This window comes from Homo sapiens, chromosome 4 (genome assembly GCF_000001405.40).
Source record: "Homo sapiens chromosome 4, GRCh38.p14 Primary Assembly".
In the NCBI taxonomy this organism is placed as follows: Eukaryota; Metazoa; Chordata; class Mammalia; order Primates; family Hominidae; genus Homo; species Homo sapiens.
This window is the reverse complement of record NC_000004.12, coordinates 78,743,820-78,767,706: the sequence shown is the minus strand read 5'-3', so window position 1 is coordinate 78,767,706 and position 23,887 is coordinate 78,743,820. Positions and strand designations below refer to the sequence as shown.

At 36.7% G+C, this 23,887-nt stretch overlaps 2 annotated features.

Moving 5' to 3' along the window:
• Positions 17,087-17,136: an enhancer, noted in NCBI's record as "active region_21651". NCBI's record gives its function as "activates an Ori minimal core promoter by ATAC-STARR-seq in GM12878 lymphoblastoid cells {active_cell/tissue: GM12878}" and the evidence as "EXISTENCE:reporter gene assay evidence [ECO:0000049][PMID:35858748]".
• Positions 17,437-17,616: an enhancer, noted in NCBI's record as "active region_21650". NCBI's record gives its function as "activates an Ori minimal core promoter by ATAC-STARR-seq in GM12878 lymphoblastoid cells {active_cell/tissue: GM12878}" and the evidence as "EXISTENCE:reporter gene assay evidence [ECO:0000049][PMID:35858748]".

The following is a 23,887-nucleotide window of genomic DNA, read 5'->3' as shown; positions in this document are numbered from 1 at the left end:
AGCACCTTGTATGTCTCAGACATTACAGTTAGCACTTTCTATATGTTACCTCTTTAATCCTCTAACAAGTGAAGTAGATTTTATTACCCCTACCTTGCAGCTCTCTACTCCAGCCAGACCTGAAACACTTTCATTTCTTACCAAGTTGTTTCAGGCCCTAATGCTTGCTTGGGTTAGAATGTCTTGTTCTTTCTCATGATCACCTGATTCAATGGGTGACTATGTGGATCTCAGGGCAACCTCCCCTCTGAGAGCTTTTCTGAGCTCTGCCACCTGCTAATCCAGGGTTAGAATGGACTAGGTTCTAATTTGTACCCCCTATACAGTTTACAGACCCTCAGAACTACATCTGTCACTTAACTACAGGGGCTTCCTTACATGCCTGTCTGCCTCTACTGAACTGTAAGAGCTTTGAGGAAAGGGAGCATGCCACAATGTTGCCTTAAAACCCAGTGTCGGTCAGGCGCAGTGGCTCATGCCTGTAATCCCAACACTTTGGGAGGCCGAGGTGGGTGGATGACCTGAGGTCAGGAGTTCAAGACCAACCTGGCCAACATGGGGAAACCCTGTCTCTACTAAAATACAAAAATTAGCTGGACATGGTGGCGTGCGCCTGTAATCTCAGCTACTCAGGAGGCTGAGGCAGGAGAATTGCTTGAACCTGGGAGGTGGAGGTTGCAGTGAGCCGAGTTCATGCCACTGCACTCCAGCCTGGGCAAAACAGTGAGACTCCGTCTCCAACAAACAAACAAACAAACAAACAAACAACAACAAACCCAGTGTCAAGCAGCATGCTTGACATATACTAGGCATTGAATAAATGAATGAATGACTTAGCCAAAAATCTAATAAGTGGTAGAGCTAAGGAGTTGAGACCAGGGTGAAATCTCAGGTCTGTCTGAAACTCCAAGGTTAGCCTATCTGCACCTAAGTTTCGGTCGTCTTTAAAAGAGGAAGAATCTAGTTTTTGTTTTCGGTGGTGGTGGTGTGGTTTTCTAAGGGGGTTTGGAGGTGGTGTGATCTATGAATATTAAATAATAATATATAATTAATACCAGTCACAGTTCTGGACACATCATAGATAATCAAGAAATGTCAGTTCCCCTCTGCTTTCCCTGTATCAACTTGTTCAAAGTTATACTTGAAGCGACAGAGTAAAGACCCAAACTACTCTACCACGCTACCCTTTCATCACAGGTGCCTCACAGATATAAGCTATTCATTCTTATTTTTGGTGAGTTTTTAGCCTTCTTAACATTTATCATTTCATTTTATTTTTTCCTGTTTTGGTGAACTTAAAATTGCGATTGTAGTTGAAAACAATGTAGGCAGACTTGAGGCAGGAAAGAGGCTTTGCCCTGGCTAAAAGCCTCCAAAGGGCAAGAACCATGGCTTTTCCATCTGTGTATATGTCTGTTCCCAGTAAGGGCTTAATAAACATTTTGCGGACTGAAGTGCATTGGCCAACTTAAGCCTGGATCATTTCCCGGATCTTTGATGCTAGTCTTAAGAGAAAAAATGCTGGCAGCTAGGAAAAAAGAAAAAAAACAAAAATCAGGAAATGGGCAACTGTTCAGTTTATAGAACTATATAAGAAAGGATATTCTGATTCTAGAGTGAAAAGCTTATGCAATAAGGTAAAATCAGGACAGCATGACCAAGAGAATGCTATAAGTAAAGTCATCAACAAGATAAAGATAGGTGAGAAACTCTGAAACTTGACAGTTGTAAATTTGAAAGCAAAGCTTGGGGATATAAAAAAAGCCTGGTCCCCACCACTCCAAACACACAAATCTGCTTTAGGATGATGATTAATTTTCCCCTGCCTAAAATATCTCACCCTTTTCACTCTTTTCGTTCTTGCTGTTTCCCTAACCTTGAACACTGTCTTTTCCTCCTCACCATCCACTTTAGGCATTTATAGCATTCCTAATTTGCTTTACCTTCTCCAAGTTTTTTCCCAACTTCCTCACTTCATAGTAATACAACAATTCTCAGAATTACCATAGCACTTTTGTCTGCATACAAAGCCTGGCATACTGTGTTCTTTAATTGGTCACTATGCATAAGTCTTAACTATGAAACAAAATGCATGCTTTTTGTTTGACTATGAAACAAAATGCATGGTTTTTATTTTTAAGTAATCCCATTGCATATGTAGCCCAATACTAGGGATATTGCAGGTGCTAAATACTTAAGTGCCTGGATAGTAAATGCCACTTTGAATTGACATTTTGAGACATGTGGGGTTTTTAAATTGCATTTTGGATTAACAGGAATAAAATGAATTAAAGACAAATACTTTGAAGGGGGAGTTACAACTGAACAGAGTCTAGATAAGCAGAGATAAATTTCTCTGCACTGGTGTTTAAAGGTAAAAAAGAAGTTCCTATTATAGATCTTTTCTTGAAAAAATCTCCATGAAGTATGAGCAGATATTACCTTAAAACAATTTTTATTATTTGTTTTCATCTTGATGAAGATCATATACCACCTTAGTGTATATTACCAGTTACAATGGAAACTATATGTACCCACTTCTTAAATTATATTACTTGCAAATTGCTTTTTATTGAATGTTTTCAATTATGCTATTTGTGTATTACCCTAAAAATAATATTTAAAGGAGTCACTCTTAAAAGGATAAGTACAGTAGTTCCCCCTTATAGGTGGTCTTACTTTCTGAGGTTTAATTGACCCGTGGTCAATCTCAGGCCAAAAATATTAAATGGACAATTTCATAAATAAACAATTCATATGTTTTAAGTTGCACACCATTCTGAGTAGCCTGATGAAATCTCATGTGATCCCACACCACTGTGAATCATCCCTTTGTCCAACATATCTATGCTCTATATGCTACCCACCCATTAGTCACTTAGCAGGCTTTTTGGTTATCAGATTGAAAAAACATAATATATAATAGGACTTGATACTATCCTTGGTTTCAGGTATCCTCTGGGAGTCCTGGAACATAGCCCCTGAGGATAAGGAGGGTACTATTATATACTTTTTAAAAGTCTTTTAGTTTTTCATACTTCAACATGACACCTTATTTCTCTTCTCTCTGTTATCTGCTGACACTAGTGGGCCTACTTATACTGACAGATAACATTTTTTCCATTTGCTGTGACAACACCCAACTAATGTTTACTGATAAACTAGCAGCAGCAAGTCAGAGCATCTACAAAATGTAAGGGGAATTTGCATTCCTGAGTTAACTTTAATTCAAACGTGAAATTGTGTAGCTAAAATAAACTCATATAATGTAAATATTTTAAAAAATTCTTGTCACTTTTACACAAATAAAATATTCTCTGTTGAATCCCCATACCGTATCCATATTATAGACAAGCACGTTCGTAATTTCTAAACTTATAAACTTTTTTTTCTTTTTTAGAGACAGGATCTCACTGTGTCACCCAGGCAGAAGTGCAGTGGTGCAATCATAGCTCACTGCAGCCTTGAACTCCTGGCCTCAAGCAATCCTCCTTCCTCAGCCTCCTTAGTAGCTGGGATTACAGGTGTGTGCCACCATGCCCAGCTAATTTTTTAACTTTTTTATAGAGATGAAGGTCTTGCTATATTGTCCAGGCTGTTCTGAAACTCCTGTCCTCAAGCAATCTTAATGCCTCAGCCTTGCAAAGTGCTGGGATTACAAGCATGAGCCACTGTGCCTGACCAAACTTATAAACTTAATATAGATATATGTATGTCTGTGTATATGAGTGTATTTAGGCAGCAATGCATTAAAATGCCCATTCTGTATTCACAGACACCAAATTCAAATTTTATGTACATATATGAACACAGTTCATCATTGAAAATGTGCCTAACAACACATTTAAATCAAAATAATTATTATGAGAAAAATTAATGTCAATATTTTGTACCAAAGAGGATTAATCATAGATTTGGCCCACTTAAACTTTGAACTTTCTGATAATAATATGACAACAAACAGGTGATCAAAACATTTAAAAATTAAGTCAAACAACTAAAATTTTTTCAAATAATTTTACATAACAATTTAATTTTCATTGAATTTATCACTTGTTTTGATAACATTGACCTACAGCCTCAAAGACATAGAGTTAGTAGGGCCAGCTACTTGGCTGGCCCTATGTACATAATTAAATTAGTTAAATATGTACTTAATGCAGGTCTATACACACACACACACACACACACACACAGCATTATACTAGTCACAGTAGGAAAATAGAAACAAGACATAGCCATATTCTTTGCCAAACATTGAATCTAGTGGGTACAGGCATGATCTCTTGTGTTAGTTGTCATCCTGTACTTTTTTTGCATTTGTTCTGCCTCTGGCCATGCATTCTTTCTTTCATTCACCATTGTTACGTTTCTCACTTATGACTTAACTATTTTGCTTCCCTATAATTATAATAACATTTGTCTAATAATGAGAATGCTAACCTTAGCAATTAAACTCCTCCTGATTGTACTCTATAGTAATGCCCTGCGTATCGGGAATAAAATTTAATTAAAATATATACTGTATGTACATTTTGGTTAAAAAATAAGTAGCTTTAAGAGAAACATCAATGTTTCAGTTTAATAAAATATATTAAGAATGCGAACACATTTCCTTATTTAAAAGAGGTTTGCTTTAAATTCTTTTTCATCAGAAGAATCCATCATCTGCAATTCTAGTGAAACATTCATTAATATTTCATGTTGTCACATCTCTCTTCAAAAAAGCAACATTAATCACTAATTCAACCAATTCAATCTACTGAATTACTAAGAATTTATAAACACATTCTAATTAGGTACTAATTAAATCTTTAAATTCTAAAACTGATTTTTTAAAAAGAACTAAAATGCAAAAACTACATTGTACTTTTAGTTATATGATTGTTTAGGGGAAGGCTTTTGTTCATACCTATCTATCAGCATACCTACAGAGTGTGTAATCAAACTCAGTTTTATAGTTATGCTTTATCTGGTAGTATGAGTATATGGATATTGTTTGTGACGGCGCTTTCAAGATAGTATGTTATCATCTTGTAAAAAATACAATTTCTTAGCCAACAAGTTTTACTGGTTGTAGTGCATGTAAAGCAATATATTTTGTGAAAGAACAGAGAAGAATATAACTTATTTCAGTGTTTTTTATTCATTGGCAAAGAGAAAAATAAAGGTTGACAATTTCACATAAGTCATATTTTCTTGAATAAAAGCATGATAGTATAAAAAGGCAATGGTGTTAGGGTGCCTAAATTCTAATGTATAATGGTTAATTTAGTAGGCTGTATGAATAATGCGTTTTAGCTCTGAAGACAAATTTAAGTTCTTAATTATGCCATTATTTTGCTTGATCTGTTTGGCATGTTAGTATCTGGCATTTGTTATTAGAAATCCAGGAAGAGCAGAAAATAAAAACTTTCTCCAGCTAGCATTTATTATGTCTCTGGCCGTATAAATGTTGGCAGAAGGGACCAATGTAAGCATGAATGGAAGACTGGCATTCAGTATCTACATACTGACTTTATATTTTTGAATCCTAATATCAGGATTCTCTTTTATAAACAATTGAGCACTTTGTCAATTCACGTTTAATTTAGGATTCATTATTCAGCACACACTTATTAAGCTAGCCCATATATGTGACTCTGCACATTGATTAAATGACTAATAAGGCACATTCTGTTTATTAAGGAATTATACTCTGATGAAGAGTTAGATGCATTCACATCTAACACAAAGCAGGTTCTGAGTGCTGCAGTAGAGGTGGGAAGTATGATAGGAGCATAGAGGGAAGGATTAATTTTAATAAGGTATTGAGCAGGATTTTATGGAGGAGGTGGCATTTGAGATGAAGAATGAAGAAGAGCTAAGATGTCAACAAATGGTGATGATGGGTCAATTCTATATGAGTGACTCCATCTGGCCCATACCTCACATCTGATCCCCATATAACCTGTTCTGCTTCATCTTTATTCCACAGCACTCATCTTCTAACATATTTTACAATGTATCATATTTATTGTCTGCCTACCCCCACTAGAATATTCTGACAGACACTTTCGTTTTGTTCACTGATGTACATTGGTGCCTACTAATTCCTGCTCATTGTAGATGCTTGACAAAGATATGTGGAATGAGTTAATGAGAGGAAAACATAAGTAAACCATTGAGGCAGAAAATGCAGATTTTTTTTCAAATAATAAAGGATCCAGTGTGGCTGTTAAGACTAGGAAAGACCTTTTCATGGCCATATAGTACAAGTGGGAAGAGTGCTTGATGCAGAAGGAAGTGGCCTAAATGCTTTTCCTTACTTTTCCACTAAACAACAAAGCCAATTTCTCTGTAGCTCAATTTCTCATTTGAGCAATTGATGATTCAACTATAATACCATGCATTTTATAAATAGTTATTGAATAAGTTAAATAAGAACCTCCAGTTCTGACATCTTTGTGATTTTTTACCATCTCCCATTTTATTTGCATATATTTTCCTTGTATTTTGGTTTTGCTGCTCTGAAATTGTACTGTCTTGCTAAAGTTGCCTCTATATCGCTTCAGTTTCTTTTTTAAAAATACTGAAGTCTATAAAGTGTATGAATCCCCTCTATCAAATAAAATGATGTTGACTGAATATGTCCAACATTTGCTGAAGTCAGATGACACCAGAACATGACATGCAATGTCAGAGTAAATACAGGCTACTCTCAGCTGCTACATCAGTTTTTATTGTTCCAAATTGCATCAACCTATGGGAAAAGGGATGGTCTTAGAGACAGACCTAAGCAGGCTATAATCACTAAAAATATAATTTATGGTGTGATAGTGGGTTAGGTGTTCATTTTGGAAATTTGCATTGTGAATAAATTCACATCCCTCCTATTTCTGTCCTTCACAGTGTCATTTATTCACCCATCTGTCTTCTAGTATTATTTAACTGTTTTGTTTTGTTTTGTTTTGTTACTTTTTTTAGAGACAAGTTCTGGCTCTGTCACCCAGGCTGGAGTGCTGTGGCTTGACTGATCAAAGCTCACTACAACCTTAAACACCTGGACTCAAGTGATCCTCCCACATCAGCATCCCAAGTAGCTAGAACTAGAGGTGCACACCACCATGCTTGGGTTCTTCCCATATTTTTCTGTGGCAGGTCAATATTTAGTGGTATCATGAGCTATGTTTGTTCATTACTAAGTCAGCTTTGTCCAAAAGACTTTCACATATGCTCAAAATGTTCTGTATCTGCACAGTCCAATATGGTAGCCACTAGACTACCATTACATTGAGCACTCAGAATATTGCTAGTATAACTGAAGAACTGGATTTTTTCTTTTGTTCAATTTTATTTATTTTATTTATTTATTTTTATTATACTTTAAGTTTTAGGGTACATGTGCACAATGTGCAGGTTTGTTACATATGTATACATGTGCCATGTTGGTGTGCTGCACCCATTAACTCGTCGTTTAACATTAGGTATATCTCCTAATGCTATCCCTCCCCCCACCCCCCACCCCAAAACAGGCCCTGGTATGTGATGTTCCCCTTCCTGTGTCCATGTGTTCTCATTGTTCAATTCCCACCTAAGAGTGAGAACATGCAGTGTTTGGTTTTTTGTCCTTGCGATAGTTTGCTGGGAATGATGGTTTCCAGCTTCATCCATGTCCCTACGAAGGACATGAACTCATCATTTTCTATGGCTGCATAGTATTCCATGGTGTATATGTGCCACATTTTCTTAATCCAGTCTATCATTGTTGGACATTTGGCTTGGTTCCAAGTCTTTGCTATTGTGAATAGTGCTGCAATAAACATATGTGTGCACGTGTCTTTATAGCAGCATGATTTATAATCCTTTGGATATATACCCAGTAATGGGATGGCTGGGTCAAATGGTATTTCTAGTTCTAGATCCCTGAGGAATCGCCACACTGACTTCCACAATGGTTGAAACTAGCTTACAGTCCCACCAACAGTGTAAAAGTGTTCCTTTTTCTCCACATCCTCTCCAGCATCTGTTGTTTCCTGAATTTTTAATGATCGCCATTCTAACTGGTGTGAGATGGTACCTCATTGTGGTTTTGATTTGCATTTCTCTGATGGCCAGTGGTGATAAGCATTTTTTCATGTGTCTTTTGGCTGCATAAATGTCTTCTTTTGAGAAGTGTCTGTTCATATCCTTTGCCCACTTTTTGATGGGGTTGTTTGTTTTTTTCTTGTAAATTTGTTTGAGTTCATTGTAGATTCTGGATATTAGCCCTTTGTCAGATGAGTAGATTGCAAAAATTTTCTCCCATTCTGTAGGTTGCCTGTTCACTCTGATGATAGTTTCTTTTGCTGTGCAGAAGCTCTTTAATTTAATGAGATCCCATTTGTCAATTTTGGTTTTTGTTGCCATTGCTTTTAGTGTTTTAGGCATGAAGTCCTTGCCCATGCCTATGTCCTGAATGGTATTGCCTAGGTTTTCTTCTAGGGTTTTTATGGTTTTAGGTCTAATGTTTAAGTCTTTAATCAATCTTGAATTAATTTTTGTATAAGGTGTAAGGAAGGGATCCAGTTTCAGCTTTCTACATATGGCTAGCCAGTTTTCCCAGTACCATTTATTAAATAGGGAATCCTTTCCGCATTTCTTGTTTTTGTCAGGTTTGTCAAAGATCAGATAGTTGTAGATATGTGGCATTATTTCTGAGGGCTCTGTTCTGTTCCATTGGTCTATATCTCTGTTTTGGTACCAGTACCATGCTGTTTTGGTTACTGTGGCCTTGTAGTATAGTTTGAAGTCAGGTAGCGTGATGCCTCCAGCTTTGTTCTTTTGGCTTAGGATTGACTTGGCGATGCGGGCTCTTTTTTGGTTCCATATGAACTTTGAAGTGTTTTTTTCCAATTCTGTGAAGAATGTCATTGGTAGCTTGATGGGGATGGCATTGAATCTATAAATTACCTTGGGCAGTATGGCCATTTTCACGATATTGATTCTTCCTACCCATGAGCATGGAATGTTCTTCCATTTGTTTGTATCCTCTTTTATTTCATTGAGCAGTGGTTTGTAGTTCTCCTTGAAGAGGTCCTTCAGGTCCCTTGTAAGTTGGATTCCTAGCTATTTTATTCTCTTTGGAGCAATTGTGAATGGGAGTTCATGTTCAACTTTAATAAATTTAAATGTAAATACTCCCATATAGTTACCAGTTCTACCCATTGGACAACACAGATCTAGATATTGTTCTTTCAGAAGGTTCAGTAATAACTATCTAGTTATTTAACATTTGTAAGGAATAAAATATATTACAGGAGCTTCTATATCTAGGAAGACAAAGCAGAGGTGCTTTTTTCTATTGCTGTTTCCTTATTTTCCCCTGAACATTATATATAAAACAAACATAAGAAGACTCTGAAAGGTGGAGAGAGGGCAGACCTGCTAGGGACCTTTGGACCCATGGAACAACATAGCAGTGAGTTTACTGGATTTTAGTTTTTGTTTTTTTTTTCTCCTTATATATTCTAGACTTAAAGCTGAAGAAGCAAGCAACCTAGGATGACAATGGCCAAGACCAAAAAAGCTTACTTTCTCTAGCCAAAGGACCAGGAAATAGGTACCCTCGTAAGGCAAAAATTTTTGACACTGATTGCTGTACTTCAGTCAAACTGTGACCCCCATCCCCACCCATATCAGTAAAAGCTTAAGTGGGGACCCTGGACTTCCATTTTTGTAAGGTTATAAGGATACAGTCAGATTTTCCAAGGACCTATAGAAGTTCCAATAGAAACCAGGTCTTTCATCCCCACTTTTCTGTAAGGAGTGCTCTATCCCCGTTTAGTATCAATGGGGACCACATGTGGGGCCTGGATTTCCATCCTCTCCTTGCAGTAACAAGACATCCCTTCCCATCCCCACTGAGGTCATATCTGAGAAAGTCTAGTGGAAAGTCAGGCCTTTTATGACCACTCAGCAGTAATGAGGCCACCCACCTGTGATGCCAGTGGAGACCATGTGGGGAGATGGGACTTCTACTCCACCAGCATTCATGAGGAGCCTGCCCCCATCAGAGGACAATGGAAACAAAGTAGGAAATGTTGACTTCTACCCCTGCCTGGCTGTAAGGAGGTGGTGCCCACACTTCTCCTGCCAGGGTGGTATCAGATAAAGCCAGTTAGAAGATAAAATTAAAATAAGATCCAGAATCTCGTAATGCAAAAATATTCAGGTTTTCTTCAAAAATTCCTACTCATATAAAGGAGGAATATTTCAGACTGATATTTTTATTTCAGGTATTCCATAATAAATGAGCCTCAATTGAATAAATGAATCTCAAACTCAAATGAAAAAAAAGGCAATCAATAGATGTCAATGCTGAGATAACAGAGATGTTAGAATAACCTAACAGAGATTTCAAAGCAGCCGTGATTTTTTAAAAATAAAAGCTTCAATGAGCAATTATAACACACTTGAAACAAATGTAAAAATAGAAAACCTCAGAAATTAAATAGAAGACACCAAGAAGAACCAATTGGTTAATTTAGAAAATTGTGGGAGAAATACAATAACCAAAATAAAAAACTCAGTAGATGGGCTCAACAGTAGAATGTAGAGGACAGAGGAAATAATCAGTGAACTGAAAGAAAATATTTGCAAACCACATACTCAACAAGGAACTAGCATCTGGAATATATAAAGAACTTACAAAATTCAATAGTAAAAAAACTGACAGTCCAATTGCAAAATGGCCGAAATATATGAACAGACATTTCACCAGAAGGGCATAAGAAAGCAAATGAAAAGATGTTCAGTATCATTAACCATCACAAAAAGATGCATTTAAACCACAATGCAATAGTAATACACACTTATCAGAAGAAAAAAAGTGACAACACCAAAAGCTGGCAAGAATGCAGAAAGTGAATTATTTGTACATTCCTGGTGGGAATGTATAACCACTCTGCAAAACAGTTTGACAGTGTCTTTAGAAACTAAATGTGCAATTACCATACAACCCAGCAATTGTAACCCTGAGCACTCATCCCAAAGAAAGGAAGTCTAAGCTCACAGAAAAAAACTGTGCATGAATATTTATTTATAGTAGCTTTATTCATAATGGCCAAAAACAAAAACAACCAGATGTCCTTTAACAGGTGAAGGTTAAACAAATTATAGCAGATCCATACTATTGGACACTATTTAATAAAAAGGAAGAAAGTAGTGATACACTCCACAACTTATATGAATCTCCAGAGAATTATTCTGAGTGAAAAAGCCAATCCCAAAAGGTTACATGCTGTACGGTTTCATTTATATAACATTTTTTGCGATGACGAAACTATAGAAATGGAGAACATACTAGTGGTTCCCAGGAATTAAGGAGGTATTGGGGGAAAGAGGGAAATAGGTTAGCTGCAAAAGGGCAACATGAGAGATCCTTGTGGTTTCAGAAATATGCTATATGTTCACTTATGTCAGTGTGGATTCTCTGGCAGTAATACTGTACAATAATTTTGCAATATCTTATTGTTGGAGGGGTTCCCTCTGTATTGTTTCTTTTTTTCTATTTCTTTCTTTCTTTTTTTTTTTTTTTTTTGAGACAGGGTCTCACTCTTTTGCCCAGGCTAGAGTGCAGTGGTGTCATCATGGCTTACTGCAGCCTTGAACTCCAGGACCCAAGTGATCCATGTCCAGCTAATCTTTTACTTTTTTGCAAGGACAGGGTCTCTCTATGTTGCCCAGGCTTGTTTCAAATTCCTGAGCTAAAGCTATCCTCCTGCCTCAGCCTCCCAAAGTAGAGGAATTGCAGGTGTGAACCACTGCAATCAGCCTCTGTATTATTTCTTACAACTGCATGTGAATCAGAATTATCTCAAAATTAAAAGTTTAATTAAAAGTAAATAAACAAATACGTCTCATGAGCCAGTCCACGTTAAGCATTAGAATTATTCAAGTTTAGGATTTTGGTTTATTTTTTAATGTAATAAAGTAGGACTTTTAAAAATCCTTTCACTTCTAGCTGCCAATTAAAAACAGATTCAACTTAGTTGTATTTATCTGTAATTTGTCAAGCAGAGCACAGAACCATGATATTAGATTGTTTCTCTCCCACTGGTACCCATTTTCACTTTTGGATTTACTCGTGGTTTTGATTGTTAGAGGTTTCTACTTCACTTATCATCCAAATTTTGTTTTAATAAACAATTGGCAGTCTAAATAGAAAAAATCACTAGTTTCTTCATAAGAGTTGCTCAGTAAAACAAGTCTTATCATACTACTTATTCCTTTATTCAACAAAGATTTATTGAGTGCCAATTATGTGCCATGCACTATTGGGAAAACAGTAGAAAACAAGACAAATCTCCCTATCTTCATGGAGTGTATACATTCTAGAAGGAAGATATATACTGATAATTAAAATATAGAGAATGTCAGATGGAGATAAGTGCTACAGGAAAAAAACTGCAGCAAAAAGGACTGTGGAATGAAGGCGGTCAGGTACATTATTAGTGTGATCAAGAAGACGATTGTCTTACTTCTAATGATGAACAATCATACTGTAGCAGAATTAAATATAAATTTTCCAAAGAAGATTATAATTCACAGTAAAAGAGAATGAGTATAGAACAGGAATTTGCAAGTTTTCCTTCACTGTGATGCATGTGACTGATGACATTCATATGTGTCACACACTTCCATAGGTAAACCAGTGAGACTTCTTGTGTGCTATGTGTAATTGCTGGTATCTGGCTGTAATCCTCCTTATTTTCTCTCAGAAAGATCAGCTCAAAAAAATCGATGAGTGAGAATGTATGTTATTACAGTAGTCTTAAATTTGAATGTTTAAATCACATGTTTAAAAAATGTACTCTATTGCTTTCAGTAAACAACTGATTTTAACACATCTGCATATTGAATCATGGACAGTGAGAGTAATAGTAATTGTAGGTGTATAGCAATATCCCTTTTCACAGATATTCCTAGGGAATATGCAATTATAACATGGATCTTACAAGCAGGGAAAGATGAGATGCAAGGCAAAAACTGTAAAAGTCAATTTTAGAAAAGCTTCAAATCAGCACTGTTGATGAATACTTCAACAGGAGCTGAAATTTTGGCATTAAAGTAAGTGAATACTCAGTGGACTGGATGACTGAATTTCTCTACCTGAGTGAGCAAATTTTCCTGGCTTAAAAGTAAAATAAATCAATTGTTATTATATTGCTATTTAGTATTACTATTCACTGGTTCAAAAACATTGCAGGTGAGAAAATATCAAGCCATGAATTGCATCCAACCAAACAAAGCCCAAGGTAACATACTTCTCATCATAGGAATTATTTTCTTTTCAATGTAATGAACATCTCTAAAATGTCCACTATGGGCTAGGCACTGTGTTATGTACTTGAGGCCAAAAGAAAATTAAGATCGTTGTTTATTGATTTAAAATAGATCTCATTTTTATGGATTAATAAACAGTCCAACAGCGTTGGCCTTGATGTCTTCTACACAGTAGATCTAAAAAATATTTGATGAATGATAATGTCAAATAGGTCATTTCCATTTGAGGGCATGAGTGAAGTATGGGACAGGGGTTAAGTGAAGAGTCCCTTGGCCCCATACTTAGTGCTGGTCATCTCCAGCAATCCTAATTCCTCTGTGAAGTGGTCCTCAAACTACGGGATTCTACCCTTTCTAGTTTCACAAAAATAGGTGCTTAGCTTAATATATTATTGCTGGACAAATGAAGAAATGAGTCTAGCTTCCTGGCTAGAGGGTAATCCTGTAACCCACATCAAAATCTGCCTGATCTGTTTTAGGGTCTCCTGAAATGGCTGTAAACCCCCCGCCCCTGCCACACTGCAATGGGAGTTCTGTATTCAGGTTTGTGGCCCTCTATGGTGCACCACTTCTGTATAGAGCTTCAAGAATCCTCCACTGTAGTGGCATCTTACTCCTTCCAGAATGTAAGGCCTGAAGCAGAAATTAGAGGTTGAGAACTGCTAGAACTTCTCCAAATAAGGTAGCTGCTTGCCAAGATCCAGCGGTCGTTAAATGGCCAGTTCTGTATAGAATGAAAATGAAGGGAAAGCTTGAACCACACTCATCTCCTTTAGGCCTTGGGGGCTCAAATTTATGAGTGAAATGGGTTCTGTAAGTCAGCAGTAGGCTCAGGCATTGTCCTCTGAACTTTAATTTCCCTCTGGAGTGAGGGAATCTGATGATCTTGGATTCCTAAATAATGTGGAAGCATCTTGAAAGTTACCTCTCTGTCCCTTCATCCATTTTTAAGAATCAGATTCAGTCTGATGATGTTTCTCATGCAAATCCAAGCCATGGTGGGAAACTCCTCAATGGGGCACATGAGCTTCCACTGCGATAGGTGGTTTCTTGGTCTACAGGGTAGATGAGGGGCTCTCAGAGGTTCCCACAGCCACCTCAATACCTGCCTTTCAGAAGCATTAGATGGGCTTCCTTAGCTCTTTGCTTTAGAGATATGAAAGTTACCATGGATTTCCTGAAGCTTATGGCTGAGACCACAGAATACCATTCTGTCTCTGTCTCCTCTCAACCCCCCAAAAGTAATTTGACTGTTCACCCATTGTCCTCGTAGTCAATAGTAGATGCCAATTCAGGGTACATAAGGACTTGGAAATGCTGAGCATATCCTTTAGTCTTTATTCTAATTCTCAAATATATGTTCCGAGTAAGCACAAGAGAGCTACCTGCCAAGGTTGTTGTGGCTGATGAGAACTTCCCATCTCCCTGAAGGAAGCATAATTCTGGAGTTAGTTGGGTTCCCTGGTGGCAAAACGACTCAGTAATAGAAAATGTTTCCAAATGTTGAGAGTTTGGAAAACTGCCAAATAAATGATACTAGTTCTTAAATCTCAGTCATTATATGTATTATGTCTAAATTAGCATATTTGGACATTTTCATTTTATACCTGTATTTAATGATGAATACATGTAGTCAAAGTGTAGCCTTGTAATAGATTTTTCTTGGTTAAGCATTTTCCCAGGTCTTCAAATGTTTATTTCTAGAACAAGAAAGAATGTATGTTGCCCATGTTATGATGAGCAATATAAAATTAGGCATTCATTTATTATTTCAGTAATTGACTTTTTGTTGAATGCTTCCTATGTGCATATCACTGAGTTGAAATTAATTCTATTTTAAGGGTTTTTCCTGTTTTACTGTTCTTCATTTGTCATGGATGACTGAAGTGGCTGAAGTTTGTCTCATGCAGTTACTTAGCTGGTCTGATCAGGCTACATTTTCCTTTGCTTTTTTCTTCTCTACATTACCAATAATGGCTGTGTTATGCCTTTTGCTTTATGTAAATATTTCTGAGTGCTTGTCATATGCAACAATATAGAATTTTAAGTCAGATGCTACTTGTAAGTTTTCTCATTTATTGAAAAGAAGGAGAATGAACTTTAAAACTTTTTTTGCTCTTAACACTTTCAGGATTTTATGATGTTAGTTTCTAAATGCCAAGTATAAGGGACAACATTTTTGCCAGCAAAGTTCTAGAAAGTGTTTGTTAAAATTAAGTAGGTGAAATTTATCTTCTGTACTTTGGTTTTTCTAACATTTCTCTTTCTGTTTTTAGTATTGATCTTTTCCTCAAAGGCCCCAGTGTCCTTGTCCCAAATGAAAGGAGTGAGTAAGGAGGACAAGTCACAGTTTTGCCACTTAATAGCTATATCAATTTGGATAAGTTATTTATCCTCTAGGCCTGAGATTCCTCATCTATAAAACAGGCATGATCACAAAAAATTCCTCACAGTTACTGTGAAGGTGTAATAGAATATTGAATGCATGTATATCCATTAATGATTAACAAAAAATTGCTAGCTTTTTATTTTGTCAAACACAGACTTTTAAAAAAATTCAACCTTCATCTACTATCATAATCATCTTATAACAGAAGTGACAAGATACCATCCAAAAAGAAGGACATTATCTCAGAATTTATAATTTTATAATTTTAAATGTATAGTTTTAATTAGAAATTTTACTACATTTTCCCTGTTGCTCCTATTTCACCAAAAATTAATGAATACCTTTGTCTAATCTGCAAGCCTGTGTTTGAAAACCACTGTTATGAGCTTTCCAGTTTTCTTTTTTTCTTCAAAATTTACCTATCATGGTCTCATTCCCTCAAAGCTCTGTCCTTTTCTAACATTACAGCTATAGTGTTAACCATCACTGTCTGTAGTGAATATTAATGGCTTAACGTATTCATCTTTTCAAGAACATGTTTATATTCTAATATGGGGGCTTTATCCAAATAAGTGATAGTAGTGGTGGAAATTTCAGACTAGTTGGCAAGTCTAGGGGAAAACAAATATGATGCAGGTACCCTTTTCAGCATCCTGAATGTCTACCTGCTTTATACATGTATATGGCTGACTCTGTACCCTACCTTTCTTAGCTTTAGGATATTAAGGCCTGTCATAGATAGGCTAGGACTTTGAATGGTTTCCTCAGCAGCACCTGTGAAATACACTTAGTGTTAGGTAACATTAAGTGAAATCAGGGTACAAAGGTTTTTTTGTTTCGTTTTGTTCTGTTTTTTGAGACGGAGTCTCGCTCTGTCACCAGGCTAGAGGGCAGTGGCCCAATCTCCGCTCACTGCAACCTCTGCCTCCCAGGTTCAAGCGATTCTCCTGCCTCAGCCTCCCCAGTAGCTGGGACTACAGGTACATGCCACCACACCCAGCTAATTTTTTTATTTTTAGTAGAGACGGGGTTTCACCATGTTGGTCAGGATGGTCTCTATCCCTTGACCTCAAGATCCGCCCGCCTCGGCCTCCCAAAGTACTGGGATTACAGGCATGAGCCACCGCACCTGGCCCCAAAGGTTTTCTTGCTTAAGTTTATGCCACTTCTCCTGATTAAAGCCTACAGTATCAAGTAAAGACACATCCCCTCCTCAGTAGATCTTTGACCTGTCGTGACTCTAATGGAAAAAGAACATATTTTTAAGTAGGTTTTTTCTAAGGATTAACACAAAAGAGGCACATTATGCCCCAAAGGCTGGCCTACAGATTGCTGGTCACCCTACATAGTAAACAATGGGCTGCTCTGGGGACAATGACAGCAGTACTGACACAACAAGACTGGACTCCATTTCAGATCTACCAAGGGTAGGTGGACAAGATATAAGGAAGATACAGGTCTGCAGTCAGAAGACCTTGATTCAAACCTGAAGTTAACAGTTATCAGCTGTGGAAAGTAGTCAAGGTCTCTAAACTTCAGTTTCCTGAAAATGGGGTTAAGAATAGTACAAATATCATAATTAGTACAAGGATTAAACAAGTTAACTCATGTGAAACGTTTTAGTACAGTACCTGCTCATGGTAAGCACTCAATATTAGCTTTGTTATTATTATGTGCACTGTGACAGGATGTGCCCACTTTGCTGGTAGCTTCATTAACCACTTATATTAAGTGTGTTTGCTGTTTTAGTCAGAACATACTCTGAAATCACAAAATATGCAAACTCAGATCTAGATCTGGGCAAATGTGAGGCATATCTTGGAGTTCCCCTTTTAGTAGGTTCCACAGAAATATCCCAGCCTTTACTAAACTTTATTTTACTTCCTCAAATTATCTCTCACTTCTCTTTTGGGGCAATGCCTGTCCTGTCTCATTACAATTGTCTCTAAGGGAAAACTTTGTTGTTGTTGGCTTGTTCTCTTGTGTTTTTTGTTTGGGATATCGTGATTGATAGTACATTCTTAACCATGAGCAAATATTATTGGGTTGCCTAGTGAATAAAACATCTCAATTCACATTGTTTCTAAAAGAAAGATGTTCAATGAGTTTGTCTTGAGGTTGTCAGATTTCATAATTATAGTCAACTTTCAATTATCCACATAAATAAAAAGGGCGTCAGTACAGATAACAGAAAATTACAGGCTCTGAAATTGTGGTTAGCTATCCAGCAGAGTTGAGCCCAGCTTCTATATATAACCAACAGCAATGCCAAGTGGGTTAAAGGAATTTAGTCCCTCTGTAATCTCCTTCAAACTCTATTCTTTGATATGGATACTTGACATTTTCTCAATCTTATGTAAAGTGCTAAGAAATTATAGCTTTAAGTCCTTTCTTCCAGTGAGATTGTGGCTCCTGCATTTCTATAAAATACAGTTCCAGAGTTGGCTCTGTCATAGGTCTGGGACTGTCTCAGGCAATGTGTCAACCACAAGGCCAAACCATGATGCATATGATTAATTTCCGATTCACAAAACCCAGAGACTGATACCTGTACATATGGCTTACTTCATCTCCCTAGAGCCAGCTTTAATACCTAAATAGGTGGTGGTGGTGGGGGAAGGGTGGTGAGTGGCAACCCCGAGGCAACCTATTTCAACAGTAGAGCACTAAGATTGAGATTGTTAGATGTGTATTTTCATATAGTTTCCTCTAGCTTTCACTACTGATTTGATCCCTTGGGGTCATATAGCGCAAATGTTTTCTTCTTTGAATATTTGGAAAAAGCCGTTATATTCTATCTGGACTTGCCACTGAGAACTATACGACTTTGGCTAAATTCCTTCATCCTTCTGATTTTTTTTTTTTTAATTCTAGAAAAGGAGGACATTTGACTAGGTGATCTATATTAGATTCTTTAATTTTAATACTATATTATATAATTCTATGAAAGATCTCTTTTGATGATAGTCATAAAAATGGTTTATTAATGATACACAATACAATGTACTTCCTATACATAATATCAGATTCAGTGCTCATAATATTACTATGGGGAAATTATTATTTTCAATTATGAGTGAGGAAACAAAAAGTCAAAGAGATTAAGTAAACCCTGTCCTGAGTTTCCGATTCTAGCCCTCTGCTCCAAGATAGGTTCTACCTCCATGTAATATTTTCTTGAGAAACTGATTTTAAAATCCCTGGAATTGGTTGCCCAAATGTAAGATGTGTTTAAAAACAAAACCAAGTTGATCTTCAATTCAGCAGGTAATACAGCACACCTGGTGGTCATTGCCACAAGATGATGAGAAGCCTCAGGGAAAACCAGGCCTAGACTCATCTGAGCAGTATAAAGGTTGCAAAGTTTATCAGAAATTGGCGCCTGTTTCATAAGCATGTGAGCCTCTCATCAGGACCTTAAATAAACTAAAGACATTATTGTACAAAGATAATCATTCCTCCAGCATTCAGTCACTAGGGCCTGCTGAATGCTAGGCATTGATTAATCACTCTTACCCACAATTTCTGATTTATTTCTCATAAAAATTCTGTGGGGTAATAGTTCGTGCATGTATTATCCTCATTTTATCTAAGATGATCTTGAGATTAATAGAATAACTTACCCAGGCAGTAAGTGGCAGATCAGGATTATAACCAAGTCCTTTGGGCTCCCAGTTCCAGACTCTTTCTATTCTGCCAGTATTTCCCAAAGTGTGTTTTAGTCTACACTCATCCCACAAAATGTCTTTCCAAAAATGATGCCACAGTCAACAATGTTTGATTCTGCACATTGTGGGGTCCCTTAGAGATTCATAGAGTTTAGCACATTCAAGATTCCCAGAAAATTTCAGAAAGGAAACATGTTTAACATTTTTCTTTCTAAATTTTTCTGAACTTATTTGCAAAGGCATCTTTTAATCCAATTAACACATATTTAATATTCTGAGGAATGGTATCCTGCAGAACTCTTTGAGAAATCCTGCATCATGCCAGGCTACATTAAAAAGAAATTTTTATAAGAAAGGATTGTCACCATAAACTGTTATTTTGCTTCATGTTAAAAAAATAATTTTCCCATGAGTTAACTAGTGTATCTCATGAGATCATAAGCCAGATGTTCATAGAATTCAACAGACTTCCTGGCCCTGACCTGAGAAAATAAAATGTTGCCATAGAATTACATACATGAGAATACCAGATGGGAATACGAAGAAAGTATATAAACAAGTATTATCCATTCTCACGATACTCAGCCTACATTCTAAAGAAGTTTGTATATGCATGGAAGTTACAATTTATCCTCCCCCCAAATTCTTGCTATTTGACATGCCTTACATTTTTATTCTAATGTGAATGATTGCAAGAAAAGGTCTTTTGCAATATTATGGATAATTTTGTGATTGCTTGAAGCTATTAGCAATGCCTGGTATGCTTTAAAACTAAGGGTGGAAATCATCGAACAAGGCAAATTAAGTTGGGTTTGGTTATGAAGATTAATTGCTTAATTCAGCTGTCTAGTTCATTGCATACTTTTAAGATCTGCCTGCCAGTTCACCCTGGTTCTGTGACAGCCTTTACATTTTTTTTTTAAAAGTAACTTTTTAATTGGCAATTATGAGTCAACAAGAATCTTTGAAATGTCTTGATGAAGTTTAAAAAGTGAAATATCATGACTTTCAGATGACTACGCATAGAGTGGCAAAAGCTGGGGATTTATATTTTATTGAAAGTAAACAAAAAACAAAAGGGAGAAACACAAAGTAATTATTTGCTGTAAAATGCATGTAAATGCCTCCTGCTGTTCATCATTCATGTATGCTGTTCAAGTTACCTATATCTGTGTTACAAATTATGGCAAAATGTAGTGGACTAAAAAAAAACCCTTTTATTATATCTCACAGTTTTGTAAGTCAGGCATTTGGGCAGGGTTTAGCTGGATGATTCTTCTGCTCAACATGTTGATAACTGAGCTGGTCTAGATGGTTCAAGATGGATTCACCTACATGCCTGGTGCCTTGACAGGATGACTGGAAGGCTGGGCTCAGTGGGGCCCCTCTCCTACTCCATGTAGTTCTCTCTAGCAAGATAGTTGGACTTCTTACTGGGTAGCTCAAGGTTCCAAGAGAAATTGTTACACGACACAGGAAATAAAAATAGCTGGGCTCTTAAGGCCTGGGCCTAGAAATTAGCACAGGGTCACTTCCAGTGTATTCTGTAAGTCAGAGAATTTGAGAGGGAACAGCCCAACTCTCATGGCAGTATCAAAGAATTTGTGGCCATTATTAATCTGCCATATAGGCCAAAATTCTTTGGCAGAAAGGCTTGTGTAATGCAGGAAAAGAATGCAAAAGCTATTCTGAACTTTTAAACAGGTTTACCTTCTGATAACATACATTGTTTTATCCATAAAGCCAAAGCGATACTACAGAAATGTATACAATACACAATATGATACATCTGCAGGAAATTGCTCCATGTCCATATCTATGTTGGTGCTGACTTTCCATTTGAACATTTCTCTCATCACCTTATGCCTCTTGCGAGTACTTTCTAGCACTTACATCCCATCTTTGCTATTTTGCACATACTAGCCATGATAGCTAATGTTTTTTAAAAATCTCCAAAATAAGCAATAAGGTACAACAAATCTGCCAAAACTAATAACACAATGATCAAGATGAGAATGGCTGCTGCTATTCAATGTCTGTTGCTAGTTAGCAGAGTTGTGCCTTTGCACTGAGGTCAAGTTGGGCTTTATTTTTCCACAGCACGTAATCTTTGTTCTAAGATTTGTAAGTTTTAAAGAACTATAGCAGAGTTTTGGTATTTTTACTTGGGTGAAGCAAAAGGAGCTTCTTCTTTTTCTTTTTTTCTTTTTCTTTTGTTTTTTTTTTTAGACCAGGTCTCACTCTTATCACCCAGACTGGAGTGTAGGGGTGCAATCACGGCTCACTGTAGCCTCAATGTCCCAGGCTCAAGCAATCCTCTCACCTCAGCCACCCAAGTAGCTGAACTGGGACCCCAGGTGCTTACCATTACACCCGACTAATTTTTTATATTTTATATTTTGTATTTTGTAGAGATAAGATCTTGCCATGTTGACCAGGCTGGTCTTGAATTCCTGGGCTCAAGCAATCCTCCTACCCCGGTCTCCCAAAGAGCTGGAATTAGTGGCATGATTTTTTTAAATTTCAATCTTTTTTTCTTGACTCAGACTAGCCCCAAAGTATTTAGCCCCTGGTGTCTCTTTAATTAATTCCCTTTCCTCCAAATTCAGCACCTCAACTTCTAAACTGTTTTCCTCTAGTCTTAGAACTCATAGACATTTCCCTCCTATGCCCCTTCTGCAAGAGTAATCATCCATTCTTGGAATATTAGTGTCTTCATATATGATCCCCCTCAATTATCAGATGTTTAATAGAAATCATATCTTAATGTAAAAATGATTTCATTTCATATAAACAATGATTTCATTTTAGGAGAATAATTATGCAAACATTTCTCAGTGCATTTTTTCTTTCTTTTTACTTTTTTAAGAGACAGGGTCTCACTCTGTCACCCAGACTAGAGTGCAGTGGCGCCATCATAGCTCACTGAAGCCTCGAATTCCTGGGCTCAAGCAATGCTCCTACCTCAGCCTCCTGAGTAACTAGGACTACAGGTGCACACAACACACCTGGCGAATTAAAAAAAATTTTTTTTGCAGAGAGTGTGGCTGACTTGTTGCCCAGGCTGGTCTTGAACTCCTGATCTCAAGAGATCCTCCCACATTGGCCTCCCAAAGTGCTGGGATTACAGGTGTGAGCCATTGTGCCTGGCCTATTTTTTCTTCATAATCAAATTGTATGATTGAACAGGAATTGGCAAACTACAGCATGCAGGTCAAACCCAGTCAGGCACCTGTTTTAATAAATAAAGTTTTATTGAAATACGGTCACACTTATTTGCCTACATATTATTTATTGCTGTTTTTTACACTATAAGGGCAGAGCTGAATAATCCTGCCAAAGATCATATGGCCTGCAAGTCCTGAAATATGTATTATCTGGCCCTTTACAAAAAACATTTGTTGATGCCTCTGATAGATTATAATTCCTTTGAAATTTTCTAAGGAAGCTAATTTTTGTTCTTATTTTTTAATTTGTTTACGATGCAGGGAAATAAGGTAAGTTTTTGTTCATTTTAAATAAGCTTATTTTGCTGTAATAAAAAAACTGAACAAATCACAGCTTTCCAGTCTCGTGGATAAATGAACAAATATACTGTAACAATGCATTGACTATGTAAGAATAAAGGGGCCATCCCATATACTATGTTCCAGCTCACTTCTTTTGCTGCTGACCTGACTTTTGTAAACTATTGAGTAACTTGAAACAAAAGCAGCCTTCGAGCTAAGACACATGAGAGTACAGATGTTTCTTGATTTATGAAGGGGTTATGTCCCCATAAACTCATCCTAAGTTAAAAATGTCATAAGTTGAAAGTACATTTATTATACCTAGTGTACCAAACATCATAGGTTAGCCTAGCTTACCTTAAATATGCTCAGAACACTTACCTTAGTCTACAGTTGGGCAAAAAATCATCTAACGCAAAGCCAATTTTATGATAAAAAATGTTAAATATCTCATGAATGTATTTCATATTATACCGTAAGTGAAAAATAGAATGGCTATACTGATACTCAAAGTATGGTTTCCACTGAATGCCAATTGCTTTCAAACCATAATAAAGCTGAAAAGTTAAACTGAACCATCATAAATTGGGCACCATCTGTACAAGGAACAAATGAGTTAGACAAAGGAAGTTATGAACCATGGTGACCAAAATTAGGATGTCAATGTTGTCCCTTTGTCCCTGCTTTCAAAGACTCAGTTTTGACTCAGATGATATGGGAGCACAAAGGAAGACTTGTGGAATCTCTGGACAAATTTAGAAGGAAACACATGTACTTATCTACCTTCTGCATTTGTTAGATTTTGTTGCGTCTACATATGAAAACAGGTAGTTGATAATTCTCAGTGTTAGTTAGGGCATGGGCAAACTAGCTTTCTTATCACTATTTGTGAGAGTATAATTTATTTCAAAGTTTCTAAAAGGCTAAATGTTCCAAAGGCCTTAATAATTATCTTGCAATTCAAATACAACTATTTGAAATATGAATATGAAATAATGAAATAATCTAAAGTGGAT